General features: G+C 41.5%; 1 protein-coding gene across 6 annotated transcripts in view, besides 1 other annotated feature; it reads left to right on the plus strand.

Annotated features, from left to right (window-relative positions):
- Positions 1-27,598, plus strand: part of RASGRF2 (Ras protein specific guanine nucleotide releasing factor 2) — a 269,800-nt gene that overhangs the window by 191,468 nt on the left and 50,734 nt on the right. The gene's annotated exons all lie outside the window — the stretch shown is intronic.
- Positions 13,964-14,023: an enhancer, noted in NCBI's record as "active region_22729". NCBI's record gives its function as "activates an Ori minimal core promoter by ATAC-STARR-seq in GM12878 lymphoblastoid cells {active_cell/tissue: GM12878}" and the evidence as "EXISTENCE:reporter gene assay evidence [ECO:0000049][PMID:35858748]".

The raw sequence follows: 27,598 nt of genomic DNA on the forward strand, positions 1-27,598 counted from the left end.
TGTTTCAGAATAGTTTCCAATGTGGTTCAATTCAGCTAACTTTTTTTTAGTCTTGATTACTTTTTAGACACAATGATTATAATGCTTTATTCATTTATGTTGCAGTACTGGGTTTTTCCATAGTCAGAAGGATCTTGGGAACTAATGTTAAATCTATGGAAGAGAGATTTTTTGTTTGTTTGTTTGTTTGAGATGGAGTCTCACTCTGTCACCCAGGCTGGAGTGCAGTGGCACGATCTCGGCTCACTGCAACCTCCGCCTCCCAGGTTCAAGCTATTCTCCCATCTCAGCCTCCAGAGTAGCTGGGATTACAGGTGCGTGCCAACATGCCTAGCTAATTTTTGTATTTTTGGTAGAGACGGGGATTCATCATGTTGGCCAGGCTGGTCTTGAACTCCTGACCTCAAGTGATCCGCCTGCCTCGGCCTCCCAAAGTGCTGAGATTACAGGCATGAACCACTGCACCTGGCCGAGATATTTTTGTTCAAATTCAAATAAAGATTATGGGTACTCAACTCAGCCTTTGGACAATTACTGCTAATAATTTGAAGTTGTCACCAATGATTTATATATTGTTCTTACCAAAGTATGGTTTAATCCATCTAAGAAGAAAGAAGGATATACAAATTTAAGCTATCCCTTCTTCCTTCAATATCTGTAGGTTTTTAGGCAACATATTACTCCCTTCCTACCACAAAGCTATCTGATTCAGAAACAGGGTGACTTTATCCTAGATGTAGATGCTATGATGTATTATTTGCCAACATTTTATGTGCTTAAAATAATATGAGAATGGTAGAGTGAGGAGCTCAGCAAATTTCCTTCCCCAAAACAATGACAAAATTGTACAAAATTATCAAAACCAACCATTTATGAACTCCTGAAATCTAGCACAGGCATACCAAAATAGAAAAGCTTTTATTCAGGAGAAAGTACTGAACCTAGCTAGATAAGAACAGTGGGTGTCTATGGCATTTTAGCCTGAGACTGCTCTTGTCTCCTTACCCCATCTCCTTTAGTATGGGCAAAGTATGAAAACCATCAGCTTTGTTGTCAGGGGGCACTGACTTTGATTTGGAGCACAGTAGAATGTGGGAAAACCTCATGCTGTTGAGTGTTGTTGGAAACATTAGCAATCTCAGTGGCAAACAGCAGGGAACATCAACATTGCAACTAGCCTGAAGTTGTGATTCTGGGTGGGGCATGGAAATAAAAAACTCAACAAAGGAATTAGAATTAAAATGGTACATTATGAAATATTTATTTAACACTAAAGAAGGCATAAAGGACAAGCAAAGAAACAAAAAGATGCTAGACATCATGATAAGTAAAGATACCAGCATTGTAATGCACCCCCAGTATGTCTATATCCTAAACGGTGTGATCCGTGTGTATGTTACCTTACATGGCAAAGGAAATTAAGGTTGCAGTTGAAACTAAGGTTGCAAATCAGCTGATCGTCAGATAGGAAGATTACTCTGAATTATTCAGGCAGGTCCAATATACTCACAAGGATCTCTAAAAGTGGAAGAGGGAGGCAGAAGAGTCAGTGTCAGATAATGCAATGTGAGAAAGACTGGAGTGGCCATAGCTGGCTTTGGAGGATGCCATGAGCCAAGGATGGAGGGCACCCTCTAGAAGCTGGAAAAAGCAAGAAAATGGATTCTGTCTTAGAGTGTCCTGAAAGGAATGCAACCTTGCTAGCACCTTGCTTTTAGCCCAGTGAGATCTGCATCAAACTTTTGACCCCTGGAACTGAAGGATAATAAATATATGTTGTTTTAAACCACTAAATTCATGGTAATTTGTTATAGCAGCAACAGAAAACTAATATGGAATGAATAGAAAGCAAATAGAAAAATGGCGGATATAAATAGAACCATATCAAATTCCATTAAGCATTAATTCATGGAAAATGCAAATCAAAAGGTAAATATTGTCAAACCATATAAAAAAGAAATATCTAACCATATGCCATATATGAAACACATTTTCAATTAAAAGACACAAATAAATTGAAAGTAAAGGAATGGAAAAAGATATTCCACGTAAAAAAAATTCATGAGAGACTGGAGTGGCTCTACTGATAAAATAGACTGTAAGACCAAAAAAAAAAAAAAACTTATTAACAGCAAAGAGCGGTGTTTTATAATGAAAACACAGGCAATTCTTCAGGAATATATAATAATTATAAATATATGCATCTAACAACAGAGCCCTAAATACACGAAGCAAAAACTGACAGAATTGAAAGGACAAATAGACATTTCAGCAATAATAATTGTTAACTTTAATACCCCACTCTAAATAATTGATGAAATAACTATACAAAAAATGAAAAGGATATAAAAGAGCTTGAACAACACTATCAACCAACTTGACCTAATAGACATATATAGAATACTCCATCTGATGAAAGTGTATACATTTGGGGTTTTTTTAGACAGAGTCTGTCTGTGATCCAGGCTAGAGTGCAGTGGTGTGATCATAGCTCACTGTAATCTTGAACTCCTGGGCTCAAGTGATCAGCCTCCCAAGTAGCTAGGACTACTGGACTGACTAATTCTTTTTTTAATTTTTGTAGAGACAGGGTCTCACTATGTTGCCCAGGCTGGTCTCAAACTCCTGGTCTCAAGCGATCCTCCCGCTTTGGCCTTCCAAAGTGCTGAGATTATAAGTGTAAGTTACAGCACCTGGCCAGAATATACATTATTTAAGGAAGACATGAAAATATCTCCAAGATACACCATACATTAAGCCATAAAATAAGTCTTACTAGATTTTAAAAGTCTGAAATTATGAAAGGTATGTTTCGAGAACACAGTTAGAAATTAATAATAGAAATAAACTTGAAAAGTCTCAAATATTTAGAAATTAAACAACAAATTGTTAAATAACTCATGGGTCAAAGAAAAAATAGATATTTCTTTGACATACTGGTTTCATTTCCTTTGTGTATATATACACACAGTAATGGGGTTGCTGGACCATATGGTAGTTCTATTTTTGATATTTTGAGAAACCTCCACACTGGTTTCCATAATGGCTGTACTAATTTACCTTTTCATCAATAGTGCACAGAGTTCCCCTTTCTCCACATACTTGCCAGCATTTATTATTTTTTGTCTTTTTGATAATAGCCATTCTAACTGGGGTGAGGTGATATCTCACTGTGGTTTTGATTTGCATTTTGCTGATGATTAGTGATATTGAGCATTTTTTTCACCTGTTGGCCATTTGTGTGTCTTCTTAAGAAAAATTAGAAAATGTTTTGAAACAAATGAAAATGAAAGCACAATATACCAAAATATATGGGATTCAGTTAAGTAGTGTTTAGAGAGAAATGTATATATTTCAATATCTACATTAGAGAAGAAAAATGATCTCGAATCAGTCATTTAAGTTTCCACCCTCAGAAATTATTTTTTTACTAACATCTTTCACAAAAGACACCCTCAGAAATTGGTAAAAGGAAAGCAGACCAAACCCAAAGCAAACAGAAGTAAGGAAATATTAGAGCATAAATCAGTGAAATAGAAAACAGGAAAAAACATTAGAGAAAATTTTTAAAAAGCCAAAAGTGCTGCTTAAGAAGATCAACAAAACTGACAAATCTTAAACTAGATTGATCAGTAAAAGACAAGATAAGACACAAATTACCAAAATCAGGGATGAAAGCAGAAACATCACAACCAACCCTACAGAAATTAAAATAATTATAAGGAAATATTATGAACAACTTTACGCAAACAAATGTTCTGTCCAACCAAACCCATGCCCAAAACTGGCAGCAGTGGAGTCCCATAAGGAGCTACCCCAGACCATCCTGATATAGAAGCTGGTTAGGATTCCAAGAAAGAAAGAAGCACTGAACGCTAGGGTGACTGGTCTAAAGCATTTATTAGGAGATCTTACAAACAGAGGGCTTCAGAGTCCTCTCAACAGATAGAGAGACAGGAGATGTTCTGGCCAGGTATGTCTATAATGAGGGAGTCGGGTTATGGAAATTATATGGGGGATTAGGGAATTTGACTTAGGGCTCGGGCTAGTTTCTACATTTTAGCAACATGTTTGACCTTTCAGTGTTTTGGGCAACAATCTAAACAACTTTATCTTGCCTGGGAATGTTCAAGGCCTAAGTGTGGGTTCAAGCCTGCAGCAGAGAGCATGCAGCTATGTCCAGGTACTTTATGTTCCCCTGTCAGGACAAAGAAAGAAAGTTGAGGGGGAACTGAGGGTCCCTACAACAAATGAGATGAAATAGATAAATTTCTAATAAGATACAAATGATCAAAACTGATTCAAAAGAAGAAAAAAAAAATCTGAACAGAGCTATAATAAAGAAATTGGATTAGTAATTAAAATTTTTCCCAAAAGAAAACCTCAGACCTAGATGGGCTCACAGGTCTTTTCTACCATTATTTATTCTTTAAATGTTCTACCCAATGTTTAAAGAATAAATAATGCTGATCCTTCACAAAATCTTCCAGAAAATGGAGGAGAAAACATTTTTTGATTCATTTTATGAGGACAGCATTACCTTGATACCAAAGTCAGACAAAGATACAAGAAGAAAATTACAAACTAATATCCCTCATGAGTAAAATGCAGAAATTCTCAATAAAATATTAGCAAACCAAATCCAGCAACTTATGAAAAAGTTTAACACCATAACCAAATAGGATTTTTCCTAGAAATGCAAGGTTGGTTTAATATCAGTCAATTAATATAATACATCATATAAATAATAAATGATAAAAACCGTATGATTATCTTAAAATAGATAAAACATTGCAAAATATTTAATACCCATTCAATAAAGTAGGAATAGAATGAAAATTCCTTAGTTTGATAAAAATGCATCTATGAAAAACCTGCAGTTAACATACATAGTGGTGAAAGACTGAATGCTTTCCTCCTGATGTAAAGAACAATATCAACGATGCCTGCTCTTGCCACTTCTATTCAACATTGCGCTGGAGTATCTTTAAAATGCAATAAGAAAAAGATAATTTAAGGTAGCCTGATTAGAAAAGAGGAAGTAAAACTGTCATTATTCATAGATGACATGAAGCAGTTTGTAGAAAACCTTGAGAAACCCACAAAAAGCCCCTACTCAAACTAATAAGTGCAACAAACGAAGGATACAAGATCAATATATAAAAATCAATTGTATTTTGTATATTAACAATGAACAACCCAAAAATTAATAAAACAATTCTATTCACAACATCATTAAAAAGAATCAACTACGGCTGGGCGCGGTGGCTCACACTTGTAATCCCAGCACTTTGGGAGGCTGAGGCGGGCGGATCACGAGGTCAGGAGATCGAGACCACGGTGAAACCCTGTCTCTATTAAAAATACAAAAACATTAGCCAGGTGCGGTGGTGGGCGCCTGTAGTCCCAGCTACTCGGAGAGGCTGAGGCAGGAGAATGGCATGAACCCAGGAGGCGGGAGGTTGCAGTGAGCCGAGATCGCGCCACTGCACTCCAGCCTGGGTGACAGAGTAAGAGTCTGTCTAAAAAAAAAAAAAAAAAGAATCAACTACTTAAAAATACATTTAACAAAAAAAGCTAAAGTCCTATAAAGTACCAAACATTGCTGAGAGACATTAGTGGAGAGATATACCAAGTTCGTTGACTGGAAGACTTAATATTTGTTAAGATGGAAATTTTCCCAAAACTGATTCATAGATTCAGCACAATTCCTATGAAAATACCAATAGCCTTTGTATTAGTCTGTTCTCACACTGCTATGAAGAAATATTCCTACCTGAGACTGGCTAATTTATAAAGACAAGAGGTTTAATTGACTCACAGTTCCACATGACTGGGGAGGTCTCAGGAAACTTACAATCATGGCAGAAGACACCTTTTCACAGGGCAGCAGAAGAGAGAATGAGTGCCAGCAGGGGAAATGCCAGATGCTTATAAAACCATCAGATCTCATGAGAACTCACTCACTATCACGAGAAGAACATGGGGAAAACCGCCCCTGTGATTCACTTATCTCCCACCAGGTCCCTCCCAATAGGGTTTATGGGGATTACAATTCAAGATGAGATTTGGGTGGGGACACAGCCAAACCATATCAGGCTCATTTACAGAAATGGACAAGCTGATCCTTAAAGAAAAAGTACAGCTTTAAATACAAATATTGGAAACCTCAGCTAGCTTTGTTTTTGGTAGGGTGCTAACACTTCTGTGGAAATGCAAAGGACTCAAAATAGCCAAACCATCTTGAAAAAATAAGAACTATGTTGGAGGACTTATACTTCCTGCCTTAAAACTTACTATAAGACTACAGTTAGCAAGATAGTACAGTATTAGCAAAAAGATAGTCATATAGATCAATGGAACTGAATTCCAGGATTCTAGGAATAAATTCTTACATTTAAAGTTGTTGATTTTCTGTAAAGGTATCAGTGTAATTCAGCAGGGACAGTGGTGGTAGGGAAATTGGATGGCTACATGCATAAAGATTAATCCTAAATGTTAAGAGCCAAAATTATGAAACTTTGATAAGAAACATAGGAGAAATTGTTAGTGGATTGGGTTGGGCAAAAATTTTTTACATACAACACCAAAAGCAAGATCTATAAATTTTAAAATTTGATACATTAGGCTTCATCAAAATTGGAAACTTTTGAGTATCAAAAGACACCCTCGAGAAAGTGAACAGACAACCCATAGAGAAATAGGAGAAAATATTTGCAAATCATACATCTGATAAGGAATTCTATACGAAATATATAAAGAAGTTTTACACCTCAATAATAAGATAACCTGAGAAAAAAGAAAAAATGGGTGGAAGATTTGAATAGACAGCTCATCAAAGAAGACAAATGAAACATGAAAAGGTGTCAATGTCGTTAGTCATTAGAAGAAATACAAATTAAAACCACCATGATATTCCCATTAGAATAGCAAAATAAAATTGACAGATGGTGACAAGAGGCAGTAAGAATGTGGAGAAACAGGAACCCTCATACATTACTGGTGGGAACGTAAAATGGTACAGCCACTTGGAAAACAGTTTGCCAGTTTCTTATGAGGTTCAACATAAGCTTACCGTAGAATCTAGCAATTTCATTCCTGGGTACTAGGTGTCTGCCATGAGAAATGAACCCATATGTTCCTACAAAAACCTATACATGAATGTTTATAGCTCCATTATTCATAATGGCCCCAAATTAGAAACAATCCAAATGTCCATCAGCAAATGAATGGATAGTCAAATGTGATATATTAATACACATGAATATAAATGTGATATATTAATGTATAAGCAATCATGCTATATATTAAATGTGATATATTGCAAAATGTTCTGCAATAAAAAGGAATGAATGACTGGGACATGCTACAGCATGGATGAAACGCAAAAATATGCTAAGTTAGAGGTTGGCAAATGTTTTTTTAAAGGGTCAGGTAGTAAATATTTCAGATTTGTGGACAAGATGGTCTCTGTTGCAACTTCCCAACTCTGCCTTTGCAGTGCCAAAGCAGCAACAGACAGTATATGAATGCATAGCTGTAGCTGTGTTCCGGTAAAACCTTATTTACAAAAACAGGCAGCAGGTAGTTTGCTGACTCCTGTGCTCAATGAAAGAATCTGGATGCAAAAGACCACGTACTCTACGATTCCTTTACGGGATGTTACATTAAATATCCAGAAACAGTAAATCTATAAAGACAGAAAACCGATTAGTGATTGCCTGGCTTGGGGGTGGGAACAGGGATTGACTGCAAATTGGAACTAGGGGTATTTTGTGGGTGATTGAAACGTTCTATAATTGGATTGTGGTTATGATTGCAAAACTATAAATTTACTAAATATCAGTGAACTCTGTGTGGGTGAATTACATGGCATGTAAATTACACCTCAATAAACCTGTTAAAAAGAACATATAATTTCATTTATTTTTGTTTCTGTTGTTTTACTGGCTTAGCCATTTTCTACTCATATTATTCTCATTTTATCTTCAGTGAAAGACCTGTTTTATTAGTGACTAGTGTCCATGCTAACGGCAGTGCCTAGGGAGTTTTATAAGAATCTTGGAACTTTGAATTCTCTTCAGAGCAAAAGTTGATATGTGTTAGGTGAACTCTTTTTGAACCCTCTCCCAGGGATCTTATTATAAGGAAAATCCTAGTTAGAACTACGAAGCAGGCCGGGTGCAGTGGTTCACATCTGTAATCCCAGCACTTTGCGAGGCCAAGGTGGGAAGATTGCCTGAGGCCAGGAGTTCAACACCAGCCTGGTCAACATAGCAGGACTTCGTCTCTACAAAATAAAAAATAGGCCGGGTGCGGTGGCTCACACCTGTAATCCCAGCACTCTGGAAGGCCAAGGCGGGTGGATCACCTGAGGTCAGGAGTTCAAGACCAGCCTGGCCAACATGGTGAAACCCCGTCTCTACTAAAAATAGAAAAAATTAGCTGGGCATGGTGGCGCACGCCTGTAATCCCACCTACTTCAGAGAGTGAGACAGGAGAATTGCTTGAACCCTGGAGATGGAGGTTGCAGTGAGCCAGGATAGCACCACTGCACTCCGGCCTGGGAGACAGGGCGAGACTGTCTCAAAAAAAATAATAATAGCTGAGGCAGACAGATCACGAGGTCAGGAGATCAAGACCATCCTGGCTAATACAGTGAAACCCCATCTCTACTAAAGATACAAAAAAATTAGCCAGGCGTGGTGGCAGGCGCCTGTAATCCCAGCTACTCAGGAGGCTGAGGCAGGGGAATCGCTTGAACCTGGGAGGCGGAGGTTGCAGTGAGCCAAGATCGCGCCACTGCACCACTGCACTCCAGCCTGGGTGACAGAGCAAGACTCTGTCTCAAAAATAATAATAATAATAATAATAATAATAATAATAATAAGTCAACCAGGTATGGTGGCATGTGCCTGTAGTCCCAACTACTTGGGAGGCTGAGATGGGAGGATGGCTTGAGGCCAGGTGGTTGAGGCTCCTGTGAACTATGATCACATCCCTGCACTCCAGCCTGGGTGACAGAACAAGACCCTGTCCCTAAAAAAACAAACAACAGCAACAACAAACTCTGAAGCAAGCTTTGTAACATCCTCAATGCTGCAGTATCTGGAATCAAATATCAGGGACTGTGGTTTTGGAGGTAGGTAAGAAAGAGCTTTTAACTGTGAGCATTTTCTTCCTGGCTTCCATAAAAGTTCTAATAATATCCAACCTATACTAGAGTAGGTAGATTAACTTATCTGATGCTGAAGGAATTGTCCATACTTTCTGAGGATTATGTTGTCCTAAGAAGAACACTTATGTGTGAGGTTGTCACTGTGATCACCGGATTCACACCACCGGGTCTGAGCCTCAGATGGGTCAAGGACTCAATTTGAATTCCTGCCTAGGGTCATTGCATAACTAGTTGGCCACTGCACCTTAGCAAGACAGTAAGTTAGTAAAGCATAAAACTCTAGGCATTTTTGATACATAGGCAAGCTCTCCTAGAGCTGCAAATTATCTTGCTGGTGACAGAGTTGGTCATACTGAGAGAGAAGGCCTCCTGACGGCTGGTGCAATGGTCTGCTGATTTGGTTTCATTTCACTCATTGGAGAGCATTTCTGAGGTATGACCTTGAAAGAAAATAGCCTTTTTCATCATCTGGGCTGATGATGGAGAATAAGCTGTAATGAACGACCTCACTGTATGATTGAGATGCGTTAAATCCTTGCTCTCCAGTTCTTAGAATCTTCAGGAGCAAGAGGCAATGATGTATCCCTCAGGAGAACATGCTATCTACCAGTCATAGAGTTTGTATAGTTTGCTAATATTACTAGACATTCTACAGCTGCAGAGGATCTCTTAGACAATATATAAATATTGTTTGTCCCTAGTGTAGCCTCTTTCCAGCTTGTATACAGAGATTCCCATATATGAACTTTAGTGTGCAAATGATTTGATGCCTTGTTAAAATCCTCATAATGAAGATGTTATTAATATAAACATTGTTGGCCCCAAGGAACTCATTGCCAGCCTTTGTCCTGTATGCATTATCATCTTCTATTTAAATTCTTTTATTTTGCCAGTCAGACCGTTTTTTTTTTTTCTGAAGCTACAAAAGAATGATCCCTTGTAGTAATTGGTTCTCATTTAAAGGGGAGGTTAGATTCTGCCAGGCAAGCATAGACTGAGGCAGGCTTAAAACGCGTAGCCTAACTGTTTTTTAAATATGGGCTCAGTTAATAGGGGTTCAGCACACACAAAAGATGGGCTCAAAAGTGCCTGATTTACTGAGGAAGGTACTCAGAGTTGAGAAAGAAGCCTCTGCACAAATTCTCCTTTGCTCTGCTGGAATTTCTTTTTCTTTTCTTTGTTGGGGGTGGTGGGGGACATGGGGGGCAGTGGTGAGAAGTTGATTGTGAGAAGTATGAGTATTTAAGTAGAAATTATGCAGATCAGTTAGAAGGCAGACTTCAGCCCTCTGGGGCTGGTACCTCTAAATGTGGAATGTGCTGGGGGGTTTTTTTGTTTTGTTTTTGTTTTTGTTTTTGAGATGGAGCCTCACTCTTTTGTCCAGGCTAGAGTGCAATGGTACGATCTTGGCTCATTGCAACCTCCGCCTCCCAGGTTCAAATGATTCTCCTGCCTTAGCATCATGAGTAGCTGGGACTACAGGCACATGCCACCACGCCCGGTTAATTTTTGTATATTTTAGTAGAGACGGGTTTCACCATTTTGGTCAGGCTGGTCTGGAACTCCTCACCTCGTGATCCACCTGCCTCGGCCTCCCAAAGTACTGGGATTACAGGCGTGAGCCAGCACACCTGGATGGAATGTGCTGTTTTAATTGAGTGCCAAGACTTGCCAGGGCACTGACTCCCTTGTTTGCCTCTGACATCCGACAGGAAAAAAGCAGCTCCTGGTTTCTAAGTGCAAACATTGAGCATTGCAGGCTGATTCCTGAGCACTGGGTGTTTGTCACGTGCTATCTATTATCCATTAAAGTTTGGTTTGGGGGAACAAATGAGCTAATTTCCGTGGGAAGAGATTTGTTACAGGAAATTGGGTATATAAGAAAGAAGGGCTGGAGGAGTAGGCTCCAGGCTGGGCATCTAGGAATCACTTCTGGAACACCGTGTGCAATTGGCCCATCAAGGGGGCTGCTGTCTCTGTGGTGGGGGGCACTGGGAAAGCAGGACATCTCTGCTAGAATTGCTGGCCTCAAGAAGACATCAAATTAGCTGCAGTCAGTGATCAGGAAGCTGCCGCTGCCCCTATGGGAGGCTGCCTCTGCGGAGGCTGCCTCTGTGACTCCACACCTGGAGGCTGCCACCCTATGGCAGGAGAGTCCTAGCCTCTACAACCACCTGCCAGCTGAGACAGCTGCAGCAGCAGGAAAATAGCCTCCACCTCACTTCCGTCTTCTGGGCCTTGATACTCCATTTGCACTTGGAACCTGAGTTGCAGGAGAGCCTAGGAAGTGCGATTTCTAGCTTTTGAGCCCTCACGCCCCAAAGTACAGAGAGGAACGCTTCTCTGTCTTAGTGCTTTACCTGTCTTCAGTTATGCTTATGAAAGAACGTCCATTTTTAACCATCTTAATTCAAATATATATATTTGAATTAAGGTATAAATATATTGGGGAAATGTGCATAAGTGAAATAGCCAAATAGGTACATAAGGTGCTCTCACAAATTTAAATGCAACTCTGCAGACCCCCCAAACTCACTACTTTACAATATCTTCAGGCAAAGCAGTTTTTGTGCAACATGTGGTCTCGCTACAAAAGAAACATGCAATTAGAGGGTTCTCGTGAGATCCAAGTTTATGTGCATATGGGTGTACATCAAGTTCTGTGCTTAAAATAAGTGGTCCTTTATTTTTCTGACCTGGGAGAAGTACAGATGTGATATATGTCCCAGCATGAGATGCTGTATAATCAGAGAGCTAGACTGGCCACTACGCTGGGAGGCATTTACTCATTCAAGAACCCTTAGAAGGTGGAGAAATTAGAAACCACGACTGATGTGGTCACATCATCATTGATGTGAATGGAACCTGGTGGTATTGTGCAGTGCAAAAATTCTCTTACTTCATGAGGTTAGTGTGGGTGTTAAATGTGTTAATATGTGTAAATTGCTTAGAACAGTTCCCGGCATATAATAAACACTACATAAATATTAGCATTGTATTGTTACTATTTTCCATAAAATGGGGATAACTCTGACTTGCAGACTTGTGAAGCTTAAATGAGCTTAGTCCCTGGCATAAGTAAACACTGAGTGATGTTAGCTATAAAATAATTATAGTAACAATAATGTTTGAACTCTAAAAATGATGCTTTCAATGTAGTATATTTCCTAGGCCATTTAACCCAGAGGTCTTCTACCTCTGAAGAGTAAGACAGAGCTGACATAAATTTGAGAGAACAGCACAAAGGCCATCTTCATTTCTTCAAGACTGGGCATTTTCTCAGCAACCTGCACATTCACTCCATGGGTTTAGTATACTTTACAGCCTTTCCATAGGACCTCAAGTCCAAGAGGTTAGTTTACTTTTGGAAAGTTGTTTTTCTAACCAAAATGACACATTCATTGTGGTTATTAAGGTCTCTGGACTCAAAATTGGGCCACGTTTGATGAAAAAAAAAAAACCCTCATGAAGTTTAAGAATGAATATGGTTCATTAATTCATATTTATATTAACCAAATATTTTGACTTGATTTGGCAGAAAATATTTTTTTACAAGTATCTGGTAGACTTGAATCATTTCTAGACTGTTAAATCATTTCTTGGGAAGTTGCATAGAAAATACTTTCAGAATTTGTGGTTTTCAAAAAGGACTTTGTCTAATGAATAGCGATGGCAACACAGATTTAGGGGTGGAATTCTTGGGGAGCTTCTATTGCCTTCTGGCAGTTGCATACCAATTAGTAAGTATTGGCCTGATCAGCAAAGTATGGATTGTAGAGGGAGGAATGATGAAATTCCTCTATAGGAGTTAGAGTCCTATGTAGATGAGGGGAAGACATCTAGGCGGGGCAGAAGAGGAACTTGGAGGCTCTCAAATATGTTTTAAGAGTTTTCAGTAATCTGTGTTGAAAGTTTTCAACATTGAGCATTGAGCGGCCATTTTCCACTAAAACGATAGAAATCGACTTGTTAACACTTTGCAGAGACATGAAAGACAGGCGGAGCCAATCCGCAGCCTGCCAGTGTGGAGGGTTCCCCAAGGGTGGGACCCAGCGTGACCTTGCCCTTGAACGGTGGGCGTTTTCCAGGGGCTTAAGGTTTCACAACTGTGTACAGGCCTCTCTTCTGAGTCCTCAGTTGCTGAACTGAAAGTACTTTACAATACCTCAAGTCTTGTGGTTACGGACCCTGGGGAGGAGGAGATGGGAAGAGAAGTGTGGTAAATTCCAAAGCAGGGAGGTTTAGGAACCTCCTGACTCAGGAAATACCAAGGTCTTCCCATAAATGGAAGCAGTCTGTGTTGGTCTATTTATCCACAAATGATAAAGTGAATAAAAAATCTCTGATTTAAAAAGTAGGAAGAATCGAACAGTTGGACCGAGTCCCTACCATGTGTAAGGCCCTTTTCCATGCAGGGAGGTATAAATGTAACCCAATGTTCCAGGCCTCCAGTACTGGACCCCAAAGCGAGGCCCGATTCTTTTCAATTCTTGAATTCTAATAACTTAATAGCTGCTTCTCTCACCTTGTAATCAGTATGGATCATCACAGGAAAATCCATCTTTCAAAGAATTCTTTGGGAATATTTCCAAGAATTTCCAGCACTGTTTTCACCTGACATTATCCGCCTGACCTTGCCTGGTGATGCTGCTCTAGGCCATGTGTCCTGTCCTAACTATATCAACAGCCCCACCTGCTGGTCCTGTGTGCCTCTGCTGCTCGTGCCAAAGCTTTGACTCATCTCCAGAGGTGTTTCTGTGATGCCCACTCTCTTCATGGCCACTTCTGGGGCCAGTGTAGATCTCTGCCAACTAGCCTGGAGCTAACTCGTCCAGACCATATTACTTACACCTTCTATAAGCCCTGGGACTTATTCCAACACACCAGGCCAGACTCCTGGTGCTTGACTCTCTGGAGGCCCCATCATCCTTTCCTACTGTCTGACCTGGTTCTGTGCCATATAGGTCCACCTGATATATCTCAGCATCATTGAACCTCAAAGAGACAAGATGGGATTGTAGTCTATTTCCATTCAGGGGCCTTATGTAAACTCATAGATGCAGTCAGGTGTATAGAATTGGTGTTGCCTGACTTTACTAAGAAACACCCAGGACCAAAGCACCAGCGGATTACTGGGGCAAAAAGTAAAGTGATACTTTACTTCTTTTTTTCTTTTCTTCTTTTTTTGTATTTTTTGAGATGGAGTCTTGCTCTGTCACCCAGGCTGGAATGCAGTGGCGCCATCTCAGCTCACTGCAACCTCTGCCTCCCAGGTTCAAGCAATTCTCCTGCCTCAGACTCCCAAGTAGCTGGAATTTACAGGCGCGTGCCACGACACCTGGCTAATTTTTGTATTTTTAGTAGAGACAGGGTTTCACCATGTTGGTCAGGCTGGTCTCGAACTCCAGACCTCAGGAGATCCACCCACATCAGCCTCCCAAACTGCTGGGATTACAGGTGTGAGCCACAGCACCTGGCCGTGAACTTTACTTCTCCTGACAAAAGCCCTTGTCTGCTTACAGATACTCCAAGGATACCTAAGATAAGCAAGAAAGACACAGCCTCTATTGTCACATGTGAGGGAGTGGCGGTGTTGAGGAAAGGCCTCTGTGCACAGACGGGAGGGATTTATGGATACTGAAGGGGAAGGATGGGGGAGGGACGAAGGGCTGGTAATTGAGGTCAGCGAAAGGATGGTATCAGATGCATGGTGGGCAACCTGAGCTTCATCCAAGGAGACACTAAGGAAGGGACCTTAGAGGCATCCAGATAAGCTCCTTTTGTGACCAAAAAGGACACTGAGAACCCGAGATGAGGGGATTTTTCTAAGGCCGTTCATTGAGCTAAGCCGATTTAAAAATTCCCAGTCCCTTCTGAGATGTTCTTCCCAGCTCATCTTTAGCTTTCCCCAGGGGTAAAGGAAAAGAATGAGGACGAAACTGCAGAGAGCTTTTGAAAGAAGGGAAATTAGGGTGTCTCCTGATCCCCCTCATGAAATGACTTCAGTCTTTAAGTCATAGGTGGCAGGGTCTTCCCCGAGTGAAGAGACGGGATGATCCTGGCAGTATGGAGTTAAAGCATCACCACACTGAGCTGTTAGCACCATTGTGAGTTATGTTACATTGCCCTCCATGGGTAGAGTGACGGATACAAGGCTGTCAGCATAAAGGACCTGGCCTGTCCAAGTCTGGTCTTCCCAGCAGAAATTCCTACTTAACACAGTTAGAAGAACTCACTGTAATACATACACACAGCAACCAATTTATCCAAGGCCTGTTTTGTATCAGTCCTGAGGACTGGAGGCCAACCAAGACGTAGCTATTGTTTCTGCCCCATAGCAGCCTCGGATGAGGGGGCAGGGCAGAAAAGCATCACCAGTAGGGACACAAACAAGAGAAACTGCAAAACCGAGAGATTGTTAAAATTTGCAATCATCAATCAGTCAGTTGTTAAACTAATCCACTTGAATAGAATTCTACAGCAAGTTGGTTAGAATCCGTCTGAAATTCTTAACTGCAGGGGTTTCACTGCACACATCAGTGTGCACTCAGTGATAGTGGTGTTCTCCTCGCTGGGCTTTCTGTAAGTTCCAACGCAGGGCACAGAATTGAAAATGGAAGCCCCCATGAGCAGCTGCAGGCAGGGATGCCGTCACTCTGACCCCTCGGCCTCTCCTCTCTGTGGCTGCCTCCAGGGCACATGAGGAAAAGCAGATGCCTCCCCTGGCAAGTTCTGATGGAAAGATCAAAGGTGGGGAGTAGGAGCAACGAAGAGCATGACTGAACAATGACGGGGTCAGGCCGACTCGGCACTCAGACACAGCAGAGCCATTCTCTGGAGAGACTCTTAGGGTGGTGCTGCTGGGACTCACAGGAAGACTTCAGATCTTAAATGGATATTCTGCACTGCCAGACAATCCTAGTAAAGTCATGTTCCTACACTGCCTTTTACCCTTTACCGCCTTCCCCTCTTCTCAGATCTCCACATCCCCTTGCAGGCTTGGCTGATGATCTTGTCTCATATTTCACAGCAAAAGCAGATACAAATGGTCAAGGATGACCTCTTCCCTCCACTGATTTCGCCAGCACACTACACTTGGTCTCAGCCTCTGCCCTCTCCCCGAGGCTGTGGAGTAATCATCCCCACACTGCCCTTGGGTCAGCCCCTCCGCTTTGCCCCATCCCATCCCTTTTCACCTCCTTAAGAACTGTTCTCCTGCAGTTACCCTTTTCTCTATTGACATCAATTTCCCCCTTTATCAATCATTCCTATAGCATGCCAGCGTCTTTTTTTTTCTTCTCTTTTTTTTTTTTTTTTTTTAAGACAGAGTCTGGCTCTGTCGCCCAAGTTAGAGTGCAGTGGCGTAACCTTGGCTCACCACAACCTCCGCCTCCTGAATTCAAGCAATTCTTCTGTCTCAACCTCCCAAGTAGCTGGGGCTACAGGCGCACACCGCCACGCTCAGCTAATTTTTGTACTTTTAGTAGAGTTGGGGTTTCACCATATTGGTCAGGCTGGTCTCGAACTCCTGACCTCAGGTGATCCACCCACCTCAGCCTCCCAAAGTGCTCAGATTACAAGTGTGAGCCACTGCCCCCAGCACCGGTGTCTTAATATCACCCATTTTACCAGCTATGGCTCCCTTCCTCTGCTTCTTTTCAAAGCACAATGTGTTGAAAATATTGGCCATACTTAATGTCTCCACTTCATCACCTTCTTTTTCCCCTCAATTTGGACTTTTACTCCGTCACTCTTGGAATGACTGACCCAGGTCACTGACAACCGATAGCTTGCCAGAGTCAAATCCAATCCCCTTGTCTTACTCAACCTCTCAGTGGCATTTGACACAGCGATCACTTCTTCCTTGTTGAAATATTTCCTGTCCTCTTGGGTTCCATGAGACTAATGTGCCTGGGTTTCCAGGACTTGCTCTCCTCCTTCTTTTGGTCTGCTTTGCTGGCTCTTTGACCAATATCTCCTGGTTGTGGGGCCACGGGCTTTGTCTGGTACACTCTGTACCTATGTGAGCCCATCCAGACTTCTGATTTTTAAGTACTGTTTAAATGCTGATACTCTCAATTTGCATTTCCAGTGTGATCATTAGATGTCTAGAGGCATCTCACACTTAACTATGTCTAAAATCAAACTCTTGATTTCCTCCCTCAAACCTGCCCTTGCCCCATCTCAGGAAGTGGTATCATCATCTACCCAGCTGAACAGGTCCTGAACAGTGGAGCCATTCCTGATTCCTCTTTCCCTCAGACCTTAAATTCGTTTTTGTAGGGCTTCCATAACAAAGTACCTCAATCTGGGTGGCTAAAAAAACAACGATTTATTTTCTCACTGTTCTGGAGGCCAGAAGTCCAAAACCAAGGTGTCATCAGGGCCATACTTTCTGGAGGCTCTGGGGGAGAATCCTGCCTTGCCTCCTCCTAGCTTCTGGTGTTTGCTGGCAATCCTTGGGGTTCCCCAGCTGGTGGCATCATGACTCCCAATATCTGCCTCTTTCATCACATGGTCTTCTTCCCTCTAGGTGTGTCTGTGTCCAAATTTCCCTCTTATAATGATTAGGACGCACCATAATCCACTTTGACATCTTAACTTGGTCACATCTGCAAAGACCCTGTTTCCAAATAAAGTAACCTTCACAGGTTCTGCATGGATGTGGATTTGGGGAGAATACTATTCAATTCAGTACAGACCTTCAGATCTGATTGATCAGCACATCTTAGCCCCTCCATCACCAATGATTCTTACCATCTACAGCCACAGCCTTTGCCCAAACCTGCACCACCTGCATCACCTGCACCACCTGCATCACCTGCATCACTTGCATCACCTGCACCACCTGTATCACCCATACCACCTGCATCACCTGCACCACCTGTATCACCCATACCACCTGCGTCACCTGCATCACCTGTACCACCTGTATCACCCATACCACCTGCATCACCTGTACCACCTGTATCACCCATACCACCTGCATCACCTGCATCACCTGCACCACCTGCACCACCTGCATCACTTGCATCACCTGCACTCCCTGCACCACTGTTATCATCCACACCACCTGCATCACCCGCACCACATGTATCACCCATACCACCAGCATCACCTGCACCACCTGCATCACCTGCACCACCTGCATCACTTGCAGCACCTGCACTCCCTGCACCACTGTTATCACCTGCACCACCTGTATCACCTGCACCACCTACAGTATCTGCATCACCTGCATCACTACCTCACTCTTGGCCTCTCCTCGTTCCACTTTGCCCCCCTCCAGTGCACACTGCACATGGCAGCCAGAGTAACCTTTCTAAAATGTAAATCAGACAATATGATTCCCTTGGGCAAAACCCGCTGATGGCTTCCCAATACCAGAGAATAAAATTCAGCTATTTAAACTGGCTTAAAAGAAGCTTGGTGATTTTGTCTACTCTCTGACTTTACCTCCCTTTTCCTGTTCCCATGATTCCTGGGCTGCAGCCATACTGGGCTGCTTCCCATCCCTCCATCAAGCAGAGCTGTCCCAGCCTTTTCAATCACTGCTCCTTCTGCTTGAAACACTCTTCCTCCAAATCTCCACATGACTCTGTCTTTCTCTTCATTCATGTCCCAACTCCTGTGTTTCTCCTTAGAAAGGCCTTCCCCAGCCCGAGCTAGCTAATGTGCCCTTTCTCTCACATGGGCCTAGTCACCCTTTTTCTGTTCAATATTGGAATTTACCTTATTTATTTGCTTATAGATAATAATAGCACTTGTATGATTTATTATTTATTATGTCTGCCTCCTCCCAGTAGAACATAGGTTCCTATGAGCAGCCAACTATTTTCCTTGTCCACAAAAGAAAACTCCTACCCATTGATTGGCACAAAAATGCTCAGTAAACATTTTGTCTGACCAAGCTGGGCTAGCTTTGTGCTTCCTGGTTTCCGCCCTTCCTCCCACCCTTCCTACCATTCATGTTGTAATGGTAAAGCCTACTGTGTTTAGACATTAAAACCTTTTTGTATAAATTATTATATATTAAAAATTGAGGAGAAGAAAATGGCCCATTTTCATCCTCCCTTATTAACCATCTCTAAAATTATCTAATTTGGCTTCTTTGGAACATCTCCACTAATTCGGTGGCCATCCCCCTCTCCTTGCATACGCAGGCGCATGCTCATTCACAACTGAACACACTTTAAATGCACCCTCCCTGATAAGAAGCTACCACTCACTCCTGATCCCATGCCCATGGAAAAGCATTTCTAGGTGTGTATGTAGGATTTTGTAGAAAGAAATACAGAGGGTTTTAAAAATCGTTATTATTTTGGTTTGTGGGGAAAGTTTGCTTAATGCCAAGGGGGTGAATATTGTTTCACATCAGGCTGGAGTGCGACATCTTATCCACAGGAGGTAACTAATGCCCCATCAAGGAATTCAAACTAAAGCACACAAAATCTCCCTCCCTTCACTTTTTAGATAGTTGGTCACAAAGTTGAGCAGACAAGAAAATTATCAGAAAATTCAAAGTGTGTTCCTTTTGTGTTTGTGTGTGTGTGTGTGTGTGTGTATGTGTTCTGCATATTAACCATTTCTAGAGCATTTGCTGTATTTTCAAAGGCCTTTCTGAGTAATATGGATTTTGCTGTCAAGAAACTCTGACCTGGAGTATTATATTTCTTGAATTTTTAGAGCACTCTATTTTAATTTTCCAACTGGTTCATGTTATTGTCTCCCACAAACATGTTGTCACCTTTCTGCTTCTAACCCATCCCTTTCCTTCTTGCCCCAGACAATTTCTGGAAGTCTTTAAACTGGCTCACCCTGTGGCTTCACCTCACACTAACCCCTGTCTCCATTCTCCTTTGGCAGAAGTCACCTTCCGCCTTTTTCCTGGCAGTATATTCTTGTTGCATTTCTATACGAGCATAAAAGCTGATGACAGCAGCGATGGGAGGGCTGATAATTACATAGAACCAACAGGAACAACTTGCTGCTCCTCATGAGTTGGCACGCAGGTGGTATGTGTCAGTGGGAGGAGCCTGCATTTTAGAGGCATTTATCTGGTCATAAATCCTGGGTTTTTTTTACCATCTGTGACCTTAGGTGGATGTTGGACTTCTCTGAGGCTCAGTTTCCTCATCTATAAAAACAAGGAATATGTTTTTATGGAATTATGGGAATTAAAATAAATAATACACAAAGGTTCTCAATAAGTTTCATTTTAAATTCAATATATAATCATTCCTTTAAGAATCTAAACAACACATGTTGTTTAAAAAAACTATGAGAACAATTTAATTGACAGTTTTAATTACTGATTTCCTTGAAAGATGAAAGCAAAGATATTGATTTTACCATTCTTCATGTATTTTTCATCACAAATAATGATAGATCTGCTGAGCTGCTTTCCCTCGTCTACAAGGATGTGCGTGTGTGTGTGTGTGTGTGTGTGTGTGTGTGTGTGTGTGTTTATTGTTACAGTTAACTGCACTTAGAGAAAATCTCAGGTTAACCTGAGTAAGGAGATGAACTTAAAAACTGAAGGATAAGAACACACTTATAGAAAGGTAAAAACAGACAAGCAAATCCACTCTGAGGCATATTTGTTCATTGCCTCATTAGCATCTTGCCAATGACACCCTTAAGAAACTGCCCCTTCACATTCTGGCCATGTGCTTTGTGTGGGAACTTACCACCCCTTATCCCTACCATTGTCAAATGATGAGTTTATAGAAGGCCTATGATGCAGTTTATGTCAGCAAAATGCAAGGATTTGTTTGGGGGCCCTCGGATAGAAACTTCCTCTATCTTCAGTGGAAGTTTCCAGAAAGAATGCCCTCTCATCCTCTGGATGATGTGTGGTGAGATTATAAAACTAGCAAAGCCTTACCCATCTTTTCTGCTTGGCAGTGAGACAGAAATGACATCATATGCTTCTGAATCAAATGAGATCTGAATCTAGAACTATCACTGTCTCCAGATATGTGAAATGGCAATTTCCTTTCTACTCCAAGCCAGTTTGAGTTGGATTTTCTGTACCTTGAAAACAAAAGATTGCCAACTGTACTCCATTAAGATAGAAGCAGTTAGGCCGGGCGCAGTGGCTCATGCCTGTAATCCTAGCACTTTGGGAGGCCAAGGCAGGTGGATCACCTGAGGTTAGGAGTTCGCAACCACCCTGGCCAACATGGTGAAACCCCATCTCTACTAAAAATACAAAAAATTAGGCAGGTGTGATGGTGGGTGCCCGTAATCCCAGCTACTTGAGAGGCTGAGACAGGAGAATTGCTTGAACCCGGGAGGCAGAGGTTGCAGTGAGCCAAGATCGTGCCATTGCACTCCAGCCTAGGTGACAGAGCAAGATTCTGTCTCAAAAAAATAAATAAACAAATAAAGATGGAAGTAGTTTAGAAGCAGTTGAATATACCAGCAGATTACTACACCAAATGTCCTGCCCTATCCAGACTAAAGTTGAGCTTCCATAATCCTAACTGTTATCCTAACTCATCTCTCCAGAAACAGTATGTCAATTCATAGACTCAGTGAACACTGTTACCATGATGTATGTATGGAAAATCTGCTTGTCTGCACTGACCAGCTATTTTCAGTTTACTAGATGTGTAACCTTAAACAAGTTACTTAACCTCATCATGTCTAGGAAAATGTTCTAGATTGGTTCAATGGGCAATAGGGAGACATGAGAAGTACTTGAGTTGGAGGAGTAACAAATTAAAGGGGTATTTGGGAAGATTATTCTGGAAGAGATAGGCACCTTACTCATTTCCAAGGTTTTGAGTTTTGTAAATTTGGCGTCTTACTTGTTTGAAGCCCATCTCCTCCTGCTTTATAGAGAAAACTTCACGAGAGCAGGGAGCATCTCCCTTTGTTCACTCAGCACCTACACAGTATCTGGAACATAGTAGGTGCTTTATAGATACTGATTGAATAATTGAATTGTGGATAGAAGGAAAGTGTAAGAACAGAGAGAATGAAGAAAGGAAGAATATCTCGGAGACAATAACTGAAACCCATATGTGTAGCACACAGCATGGCAGCAGAAGAATGGAAAAGAAGGGATAAATCTAACAGGTGCTACCAAAAGTTCACAGAATTTATTGACTGAATGAGAAAAACCAAGGAGAGACAAAGAAGAGTAAGGTGTCCCACCTGAGAGGTTGAAACCATGGCTATCCCATGAAGTCAATGGGAAAGTTAGATTGGGGAGCAGTTGGAAGAAAAGACACATACACTTGGTTTTTAGATATGTTTCTTAGGAGAGGAGAATGTGTCATTAATATGGACATGTCTAATAGGAAGTTTGAAATGAGGAGTTTGGGGTACTGTTGGAACTGGAGGTGTCAGGTTGGAAGGCATAGAAAAACCACAAGATAGGGCATGTCCCCAAGAGGGTGAGAACTGAATGGGGACAACCCTAGAAAAGAGGAACCAAGGAATCAGGCAGAGGTGGAGAGGCTGGAGGGTCAGGGAGAGAATGAAGAGAGTGTTTGGCGACAGAGCAAAGCAGGCACAGTGACAAGAGGAGAAGCATCTTCTGCTTTTTCCTCAGCATGTTTCATAGCAAAGCACAAACTTGATTACCCAGGATTTCAGGGAAATTAATGCAGATTCTTTAAACATAGTGCTAGTAATCAGATTGTCTATATCAGTCACTTTTAAACTTTTTTATTGCAATCCACACTAAGAAAAGCTCTGGTCCACATAATTGTCACATAAGAAATGTGATGAGTTTGGGAAAAGAGCACATTTTGAGGAAATCTAAGTTCCCATTAGACAAGTAAAGGTTTTGCCTTAAAATCCATGACAATATGAAACATATCTGTCTATTTAATAGTGGTGTCATGCTCTCACACTTCAAAATTTAGAAGAGAGATAGAATTAAAAGGAAAGCATTTTCTTTCTCCAAATAGCCAAATAGCGTCTTCTCTCATACCTTTAAGTGTTGGTTTACTAACTTGCAAGAGAAACTTAAGGCTTACACTTTGGATCCTGGCACAGGGGTGTAATTAAGAGCACTCTAGTTTTAGAAATGGACAGACCTGGGCTCAAATCCTGGTTCTCACACTTCTTAGTTCTGTGACCTTTGCCAAGTTTCTTAGCCTCTTTGGTTTCCTGTTTCTTTGCTTGCAAATTGGGATAACAATGTTTAACCTATGCAGTTGCTCTTATGTTGAAGAAGCCGCATTACTTATGGTACTATATTTAGCACTTGGTGGGCATGTGATGAATGGCAATTGTTATTATTGCCTTGGTTGTGAGGGTTAAGTTATAGACCACTTGTAAAGCTCATAGCAAAGCACCTGGCACAAAGCAGCAATAAATCTTAATGATCTTTCCATAACAGCAACCAAAGAGTAGAAATCCAGTTGTAATCCAAGTGCACGGTAGTATACAAACCAGTTACATGCTTTTATCTTGCCTACAGTTCTTTAGAAAAATATCTACTGGGGCTGGGCGCAGTGGCTCATGCCTGTAATCTCAGCACTTTGGGAGGCTGAGGTGGGCAGATCACCTGAGGTTGGGAGTTCGAGACCAGCCTGACCAACATGGAGAAACCCCGTCTCTACTAAAAATGCAAAAAAATTAGCTGGGCATGGTGGCGCCTGCCTGTAATCCCAGCTACTCAGGAGGCTGAGGCAGGAGAATCACTTGAACTGGGAGGTGGAGGTTGCAGTGAGCCGAGATTGTGCCATTGCACTCCAGCTTGGGCAACTAGAGCGAAACTCCGTCTCAAAAAAAAAAAAAAAAAAAGGAAAAAGAAAAATATCTACTGGGCAAAGCAAAGCACATTGATAACATTGATGCTGTTGGACAGATTACGTCCCATTTGTATGAAATGAAAAATGATGCATCACTGAAATGGCATTCTTAATTCCTAATTTGTCCCAAATGCCCTTGGGACAATTTAGAAATGCCCCAAACCAGATGTCATCTCTCCAAGAGACATGCCTGTAGCAGTTTGATCATTTTTTGTAAAAGGGGGTGCTGTATACTCATTAGCTGTGATTGTTTTAACTGTGCTGTCATGTGTGAAGCTGATCGTGCATTCTTGCTATGACATAGACATCGAGGTCCATGCCAACATGCTTCCAATCAGACATGCCCATCTCACCACTTTTCACAGTCTTTAAAGCTATGTGAACAATTTTCTACAACTTGCCAGAGTGTCTGCTGCAAACCACCACCTAAATGGGGAGCTCCTTGGACAATATATTTTAATTTAAATATGGACTACACTGCTAATTGGTGGCAGTAATCATGTGGAAGCCATTCTCTCCTAAAATCATAGATCCACCCCCAAGAAGTCCTTGTACCATTTTCTGGAAAAGAAAATAGCAAATATTTGGGGGGCTTTAGACATCTTTGACATGCGCAGCATAACCCAATTCTCCATAATCCGGGAGAATCTATTGTATTAATATCTCACATGTGGAATACATACTGTATGTTTAAATTAGAGCTATCTAATAGTTCTCATATCTGAAATTCTTGGCGGTGATGATGGAGGGGTGGGGTGGGGAGCATCAGGTTCCTGATCCCTGTGCCTACTGATCATTGCACATGTGGACGGTTTGTGCGTTTTATAATTTTGGATTGTGAGCTCTTCTTCAAGGGCTTTCTCCATGGTGATCCCAGTGCAGGCTGAGGTATGTGTTCCTCGGCAGAGGTTTTGCATGTGCTTTTGTTGGGGTCCTCAGGGTCATCATTGGCCTAGGCCACTTTTTATTTTAACTTCTCATTAGATGGGTATACCATACAATAGTGATTCAACCTGAGCCTCTGGCCTGCAGGAAGTGGGCTGTGATTATCTCTTCTTGAGGAGAATGTTTCCACCCTCTCCCACAACCCCACTGAGGCAGAGGCAGACAAGTTTCTTAGTAGTCTCCTTTTGCAGGTAGGATAAATTTTTTCCCTGTTACGTTCTTTTATGGAGGGGTGGTCCTTTGAGAGTTCCAGGTTTATGTGGGCGTCTCAGTTCCCATCTCCCCATTCCCACTTCATGAAGGTCCTGGGGCTTCTTCTCCTGAACCATGTGGATGTTACAATCCCAACACCATGCTACTGATAGCCTTCCCTCCCCTCAGCACAGCCAGCATCAGTTCAGAGACTTGGTTCTGCTTTTCAGATCCCTCTGTGTGTTTGACCATGGAAAATTCCTTACTTTCTTGAGAACTCAGCTATGCATTTAGAAGGATATTTGTTATATTTTACTCAGAATTTCTGTTTTTAATAACAAAAGATTTTTTTTCCAAGATACTTACTCTGCCAAGAACACATCATCACCATCCTCTGACAGAATTAAAATGTCCACTGGTGGGTGGAAGATGCCTGTCTACATTCGAAGAGGAGTAAGGAGAAGGGGCCTCTGGCCTTTAGAAACTTAGAGATTTTTTTTTTTCTCTTAACTCACTCGTTAGCTCCGAGAATTATTCTTTCAGTCATTCACTCAGTTATCCTTACAGTCATATATCATGCAATACAACTTAGTAAGTTCATACTATGTAGGCTTTCATTTTTCTGCAAATGTATATTGTATACAGCTTCTGCTATGTGCCAGACAGGTGCTTGTGCCCAGTAAGATCATACTAGATCCCTGTCTTCATGGATGACACAAATATTAATCTGATAATCACATCAATAAGTGTACAATTTCAAATGTGCTAAGTACCATAAAGTAGATGTGTGTGGTGCCGTGAGATATGTAATGGGGGCTTTGTCCAATTCAGGCTGGAAAGCGCTCATTTGGAGAAGTGAAATTGGAAACAAAAGTGGCTTTCACTAAGTGAAAAGAGGAGTGATAATTGTTTCAGATATGTAGCAGTATGTGCAAAGGCCCTGGGGTAAGGATGAATGACTAAAAAGAAGTGTGGTGAAATGGAAGAAGGAGAGAAAAATATGGTTTCAGAAAAGACTGAGAGGAGCTAGGGCTAAACCACCAAAGACCTTGTAGTTTGTGTTCAGGAGTTTTGTATTTATCCTAAGAGCCATCTAAAGAGCTTTAAGCACTGGAACAACACATCCTAATTTTCTTTCTAAAATCCTAAAGATCTTTCTGACTTCAGAGAGGAAAACAAATTTGAGGAGGCAAGAGTGACAGTAGAGACCAGCTGGGAGGCTGTTACAGGAGACCAGAGGCTATTACAGTAGACAGAGTTGCTGGTAGCTCAGCCCCAGTTTTGGTTTTGTAGATGGGAAGACATGGGACAGATTTGAGATTTATATAGCAGATAAAATTATTAGGAAACAGCATAAAGATAGGACAGGAATAATTCCAAAGTTTCAGGTTTACATAACTGGAGGGAGGGTGGTATTTCTTTACTGAGCTAGGGAACACTAGAAGAAGACAAAGTTTGGTGTAAAGGCCATTGGTTATTTATTTATTTATTTTTTGGACACATCAAGTTTGAAGTGTGTTTGAAACATATAACAGGAAAATAGAAAGAGACAATTGGATATTGCGTATATGGATCTGGAACTCAGAGAAGAGATCTGGAGATATAAATATATGACTAATTTGCTTGTAGGTAATCATTTAAGTGGTAGGCCTAGACGAGATTTCCTAGGGAGCGATTATAGCCTGTCCCCTGGATATAGGGACATGAAGGTTATTGGTAGGACCTTAAATGGGAGCTGTTTTGTCGCTGAGATGGGATAAGAAGCTTCGAGTAGGATGTAGAGAGAACAGGAAGTGAGGAAGTTGAATCAGTGAGTATAGACAACTTTTTTTTTTTTGAGACGGAGTCTCGCTCTGTCGCCCATGCTGGAGTGCAGTGGCGCCGTCTTGGCTCACTGCAAGCTCCGCCCCCCGGGTTCACGCCATTCTCCTGCCTCAGCCTCCCGAGAGGCTGGGACTACAGGCGCCCGCCACCACGCCTGGCTAATTTTTTGTATTTTTAATAGAGACGGGGTTTCACCATGTTAGCCGGGATGGTCTGGATCTCCTGACCTCATGATCCACCGCCTTGGCCTCTCAAAGTGCTGGGATTACAGGCATGAGCCACCGTGCCCAGCCTAGACAACTCTTTCAAGAGGTTTGCCACTGAAGTTATGTAAGGCTTTAATTGATGTTTAAAGGAAATGTGATTTCATTGTGATTGGAAGGCAGAATCTTTTAAAACAGTGTGTCAGTGGAAAAATATTAAAATGGTTTCTTGATAATGAAAAGGTAGCCAAGATAGAGACATTAGCCAGCACAGAGAAGACTCAAAGACAGTGAATCAAGATTGATTTGTAATCGTAGCTAACATTTATTACAGTCTCACTGCTGTGCAAGTGCCATTTTAAATGTTTAGCATGTATTAAAAGTCTTAATCCCACAACAACTTTATGAGGTAGGTACGCTTATTATCTCATGAGGAATGTGGGAAACCGGTCACCAGAGAGGCAACCTAACTTGCCAGGGTG

This window comes from Homo sapiens, chromosome 5 (assembly GCF_000001405.40).
Source record: "Homo sapiens chromosome 5, GRCh38.p14 Primary Assembly".
In the NCBI taxonomy this organism is placed as follows: Eukaryota; Metazoa; Chordata; class Mammalia; order Primates; family Hominidae; genus Homo; species Homo sapiens.